Source organism: Homo sapiens, chromosome 2 (assembly GCF_000001405.40).
Source record: "Homo sapiens chromosome 2, GRCh38.p14 Primary Assembly".
Lineage (NCBI taxonomy): Eukaryota > Metazoa > Chordata > Mammalia > Primates > Hominidae > Homo > Homo sapiens.
In genome coordinates, this window is record NC_000002.12 from 158,570,664 (window position 1) to 158,577,388 (window position 6,725).

A 6,725-nucleotide genomic window follows, 5' to 3' on the forward strand; every position below is an offset into this window, starting at 1 on the left:
CCTCTTGGTGTGTTATACTGCTAGCATGAGATGATTTTTGTCACGCAGATAAACATTTCTAAAAATTACTATGTATTTTATATTAAAAATATACAAGCATTGGAAACCAGGATTTCAATGACTTCAATGCCTGGAATGATAAAGGAGTCAGTTTAAAGAAAAATACTCAATGAAAGAGATAATATAGGTCAGAGGAGAAAGAAACAGAGACTGAGGAGTCCTATAATCAACAAGATATGTTCTCAGATGAGAAAAACTTGAGCATTAGACTAAAATGAAACATAGAGGATTCCAGAGAGAAGCAAGGCTCTGGATGAGGCAGGAGAGCATGCAGAGACCAGCCTTGGGTGAGAAAGGGACACTCCCTCCACTAAGCCTGGAAGAGAACTAAGGATTAGTGTGAATGTGGGGGCAGGAGTTGAGTTGTCAAGCTGATGGCCTGAAATGAGCGCCTACTGCTGTTTCTTAATTGTCGTCATCATAATTGTAGTAGCTATTGCAGCTACTCCTGAATTAGCTGGACTAACTTGAAGTAAATCCATGTAATGATGCAAATTGACAACTGAGCTAGATGGCTCGAGGCTCAAAAGACAATGAGCTTTTGCACATATTTGGAAGCATAATGGTCTTTACTGATAAGGAAGAAAAGGAAAACATGATTTACTAATATCAAGAATGTAAGGGGGCTATGGTTGCGGATCCTGCTGACAATGAGGACAATTATATAACATATACTGACAGCAAAGAATATTATGAACTACTTTATGCTAATAATTAGAGGTAGTAAGGAGCCAGGAGCACACCATCTCTCCTCTCCCTTCTTTGAGGCACCTTGGGTTTGGGGTGTGGAGGAATACATAGTCTTCACCAGAGAGGGTTGTAGGAAAATGCAGTATTTTCGAGAAAGAACTACATTTCAATTAAAGCCTGGAAGTGGAGAGTATTCTTAGTAACTCAGAGGTGGAGAACATTCTGATTAAAAGATAAAGAGTTTGTAAAGAGAGAGTTTGTAAACTGGAATGAGACTTCCACAGGGCACAGTTGGAAAGGGTCAGGAGATATGTCACTATGGCCATCAGTGAGGACTTAATGAGGGTAAGAGACTAGGAGGCCACAGGAGGATGAAGTATGACCTGCTTTCAGTGTTACGTGAAAATGGTTCAAGGGACTGAGCCTTGAACTGGAGTGGAGCTCTTCCTGCTCATCAAAGGAGCGGGAGTGCAGAGACCTAATTCTGAAAGCTACCTAGGGTTTCTGAAAGCCAGAAGGAAGATGGTATCCTTGTGACTAGATGTGCAGTATCCTAATACTTCTGTTTGAAAGAAACACAGTAATCACCAATTTTAAGGGCTTATTTAGAACTGAGTGACTTGGGAGTTGAAGTAGACATCAACCTAAACAGGAAGAGAAAACAAAAGAAGAAAGAGATTTCACACCCAATGACCATGCAGGAACAGACATGAAAAAGAACTAATAAGAAGTCTCAGAAATGGAAAATACTGTCTTTGAAAAAAAAGTTCAGTAGATGAGATAAACCATAAACAAGACACATAGAGAAATAGTGAATTGAAGGCAGTGCTGAGAAATTCTCCCTGACTACAGCTCAAAGAAATTAAGAGAAAATATGAAAGCGCTATACTGTAGATTCGGTATTCTAACCAGTCTTTCCCCTGAAAGAAACTAAACATACTAAATAAAATATTTGAATTGTCTTTTTAAAAGCAAGGCTAAGCTAGAAAGAAAAGAAATAATTCACAAAAACTAAAACCAAAATGCAAATGAGAATCCTAAGCAATAAACCTGGCTTTTACCCTGAAGATATCTGGCAAATCTAGGTCATCTTGAACATGCTATTTGACAGCTCCATGCCACAGGCATTTGAGGACAGCCTAAGGTGAGGGTTCAAATTAGATCCTTTGCCCAAAGCTAGAACTTGCCAAAACTACAACATTGGCTAAAACTGGTAAGAAATCTGTCCCACAGAAGAGGACAGGCCTGGGTGCTGGCAGGAGGAAGACATTTTCCCCCGATAGTTACGATACCTATGAGATTCAAAAACTTAAATGGTCAATAAACATAGGAAAAAGGTGTTTGTTATCAGGGAAATACAAAATAAAACACAAGCAAAATAGCATTCTATGCCTATGAGACAACCAAAGAAAAGAGAAATTTAAGGCCCAGAATGCCAGCTGATGTCAGTGAGAATGTGGAGAAGCTGAAACTCTCATTTATTACTGGCTGGAACATAAATTAGTACAACTACTTTGAAAAGTAACCTGACAATCATTATCAAGCAAAACTGAAGATGTGTGTACCTTTCGACCAAGCAATTCCACTTCTAGGTCTCTTTGCTCTGGAGAAGTATGATTCATGTGCACAAGATGGTTTATACAAGAAAGCTTATTTTACAGAATGTTTATGATTACATAAAGTTGGGAACAACCCAAGGTTCATGATGAGAACATATAAAGACATTATGTGATAGCCGTGCAATGGAATACTATTGGGCAGTGAAAATAGATTAGCTAGATCTACATGTATTGATGTTAATAAATCTCAAAATCATGTTGCAGTAAAAGCAATCTGCAAAAACTGTACAATATACCAATTGCATAAATTGTGTGGACATACAAAACAATGCTGTATCTGTTGCCATTTATGGCTCTCTAAATAGGTAGTAGTAATATAAAATACTCATGTGAATATTAAGCACCAAATTTAGGGTAATGATTCCTTCTAGGGAGGGAAGAAAAGAGAAGAATAGGATCTAGGAAAGAGAAACCAAGGGATTTTATTGTATTTTAAAATAAAATTGTAATATTTTACTTCATAAAACATCTGAAGCAAATGTAGCAAAATATTAAGATTTGCTGTACCTTGGTCAGATTCACAGAAGTTTATTGTGTTATTGTCTATAATTTTCTGTATTTTTGAAGTGTCTCACAATATATTTAAATTGGGAGAGAGAAATCTATCATAGAAATGGAAGCCAAAAAAAAAAAAAAAAGACTGTTTCAGATTGAATTCTCACTGAGATGGAGTTTTACATGCAGAATACTTGTCAGGGATCAACACCTGTGGAGGAGAGGGGAAGGGAAAGCAGGATTAGGCAAGGGAGAATTCCAAATCAGGCTGACAAAGCCTTGGCCAAGGCCAAAGGGAGCAAATCTGGGCCTGGTCTTTATTTTCTTATCTTGATCAGTGCCTGAATGCAAGCTTCTCAGAGGGTGTGCCCATGGGCAAGGGGACTGTCTGCAGCCGAGACACCCCTGAAGGAGCTGATGACCACAGGCCACCTGCTGGCAGATGGGACAGCCAGCCTTTCCTTGGGCTTCCTTGGGCAGTGTAGCTCTGTCTACCAAATATGGCTCATCTGAAAGTGCAGCTTTATTTTCATCTATTCTCTTAATTCTCTCTCAAAGAATATTTATCAGTATACTTACTTGAGAGGAAGGAAGTAAATACAAAGAAAAGCTTTGTAACACAGGTGAACAGATTCCATTTTCATAGTATATTAGTAGCCTTGACTTTCTAAAGTCGTGTGGTATTGTTTGCTAGGCTCTACGAGGAAATTTTCATACACTAAATCACTGACAAGTGCTTTTAACATTAACTTTTTTCTTCTCACAAAAGAACAAATATAAGCTCCCCCTATAATTAAGATTCCCAATTTGGGATACTGATTTAAGAACCATTCTTCACATTTTTTGTTTAGAGGATAAAATATAAGAATTTTTAACTTCATAGATGATGTCTCTGCATCATCATCTTAATGAGCGTTATTTTGGAAATTATTAGATGTGTTTTCATATGACAGCATAATACTGTCCTCATCAGTCAGTCAAAGAGGCCAGTAGAGACTGAATTATCAAATATTGATATCCCACTCATACATCTTGGTGCCATTCACATGTGCGTGTGTTCAACTTGTATTCTTAGGAGGAATAGTAATAGTTTTGCAAGAAAGCATATTTTTTCTTTGTAAACATTTACAGGTGTTAAGTCACTTTTACAAATTCAGTGCTTTATAGCTTCTTGATATTCTGCTTTTGGCACTTTAATGAAGTACTACTTGTGAGAAGTTGTGGGCACGTAATAGGTTGAATGGTTTTGATAAAAGTAGCCAGTGATGTTCAGTATTATGGGCTCTGCATCCAGTAGGGATATAATGTGGACTTAATTCAGTCCATAAGAATGTTAAAGGAATTGCCCTACTTTTAAATAAAAAGTGTAGCTACATCATGCATGTATAGGCTTTCCTAGCAACTCAAGAACTGTAAATTGTTTCTGTGGGTACGTCAATCAAAGTTTCTAGTTGTAAGATACAGAAACTAACATGGCTAATTAAGCAGAAAAGGAATTCATTAAGGGATTATTAGTGAATTCCCACATTTGTTACAGGTACTGGAGAACAAGACTTGAGACTAAGATTCCAGGAACGGTGTCCAAATTTGTGCCACAATGTTGATCAGATAAAGAAACTATTGTTATAGCCACCAAACACACAGAATTGTGTATGGAGGTTGTTTCCATGTCAGGATCTTGACCTTGAGACCTAATGCAGGAAGCACAGCAAGAAGGCAATAGAGAGAGAAAACAAGTGTCCTCTTTGCTGGAGTCAGAGTCTCAGTGTCAGCACCTGCATCACAACCTGGCATGAGTGTACTTTCTTGGCAGAGCCAAAGTCACCCGTTCTGCTTTTGAGGGAAGGAATTATGAGAAATTCCAACTTCTGCCTTCAAGCAGGAACTTTCCCAGCCATTTCCTTGAAAGGTTGTTTACAAGGTCACAGGCAGCCACAAACATGATAAAAATTCATTCCTGTACAATGGAATTTGTTTCTATGAATGGAATTTTTTTTCTATGTTCTTATTTGCAATGTATCTTCATACCATACTGTACCTGATATGGTAACTTTTGCCCATCCCAAAATGAGGACAGTACTCCAGCCCTCAATCCCTAGTAGCCACTGAACTCAGAGGACGAAGGTATTGTGATGGCTTGGGGAATATTTTGGGATTCCTGAGTAGTCTTTTCCTGGCCCAGCTTGATACAACCAGGCAGTCTTGTGGGAAAAGATGCATATAATGACAAGTGAGTAAATGAAGTGAACAAATAGAAGTCTATAACAAAAAAAACAAAATGATGCTGTTTAAGAGCAAAGAAAGAGTAAGTGTGAGGTAAGCATAATAGTATTTTCAAATTGGTTATCTTAGCCTGGTACTGAATGCTGAACAATTTATGTCTATCTAGTCTTTTGTTACTGAACATTTATTAAGAGCCTAGGAATTGTTAGGCAGAGGCAGGCATTGTCCCACTTACCGATTATGATCATATTGTACAGCATTATTGAGCCAGCTATTATTCATCTAGGCCCTGTCCAATACTGCCACACCAGTTGGGATCATTAGGAAAGGATTCTCAGTATCAGAAGATGGTAAGGAGTTTAGGGACTGTTTCTTAAAAATTATTCCAAGAATAGCTTGTGGAATTTGCAGAGCCAGTACTGTCAAGCAATTACATGTTTGCCTGATTTCACAGGGAGTTCATATACTTTTCAATTAAAATTTTTAATGGCAAACGAATGTATACATATAATCATAAATAATATTTTAGGTTGTTTTATTTCTGAATAGTTTCTAGATTTAATACTCATATGTCTGGTATTTTGAACTAGCAGTCATCAAATTAAACTACTTACAGTTCAGCATTTGCTTTGAATAGACTTGTGAGGAGACAGTATGGCACAGGGGAGCTTGAGATGCTATTTGTAGCTTAAAACCTTTGGAATGTACTTGATCTTTAGATATTTTATAACATGACATGTTTTCTACTTACTAAAATCCCATCAAGCTAACAATGAGAGAAATACAAATAAAGTTAAAACATTCTCTCCTTTCATAGAACTTGTTTGCCTTCACTTTGCAGCATAGATTCAAGAATATAATTTCTGTAGACTATCTTCCAGCTTTTGAATATATTTTAAATTCTATGTTATGGCTTAGTCTTTTTCACTTCTTGTGTTCCTTCTCTCCTTTGCACAGTGGCACATGATTGCTTTTGGACATAGCAAATTTTTGTTGGTTATATTATAGATAAATACGGCAAGACTTTTTCTGTGGCATTGGAATCATTTTTTTTCTTAATTAAAAGACTATATCAAACATGGTAAAGTGATTCTGATCACGGGGATTTATATTTTTTTAAACTATGCTGACATATAGTATAAGAAATATAAAAACTAGCCATTGTTTGCTGTGTCTCTGATGTAGATACATTAAGTAAGGTCTCTGGAAGCCTTAACTTTAGTAAGGCACTGTAGCAGAAGTACTGTTTGAAGACCTCAGAACCAAAATCAGAAAAGGCAAATAAAGATCTACATGGTTTTTATGCCAAATAAAGGCTGATATTCTATTGCCTTTAGATTTGAAAAAGCTAGGAATCAATAGGTCATTTATTTCATCCAAAAATTGCATTTCACAAAGCCACACCATAGCTTTATGTTATGGGTACGTTCCTATGTTTCCTGTGACATACATTAATTCATATATCTGCCTGAGCAGCATACCTTGGCGCCTTATATGCCTTTTATTTTCTTGAATCACAGGAGCTTCAGTTTCAGCGACTCACCCGAGAACTGGAAGTGGAAAGGCAGATTGTTGCCAGTCAGCTAGAAAGATGTAGGCTTGGAGCAGAATCACCAAGCATCGCCAGCACCAGGTACA

At 37.2% G+C, this 6,725-nt stretch overlaps 1 protein-coding gene across 14 annotated transcripts in view; it reads left to right on the plus strand.

The window, feature by feature from the left end:
• The window catches only part of PKP4 (plakophilin 4), a 224,478-nt gene that overhangs the window by 113,712 nt on the left and 104,041 nt on the right, over positions 1-6,725 (plus strand). For all 14 annotated transcript variants that reach the window (NM_001377220.1, NM_003628.6, NM_001005476.4 and 11 more), the window contains one exon: positions 6,608-6,720. In NM_001377220.1, the coding sequence (NP_001364149.1) occupies positions 6,608-6,720 (113 nt within the window). The remainder of the gene's footprint in view (positions 1-6,607; positions 6,721-6,725) is intronic.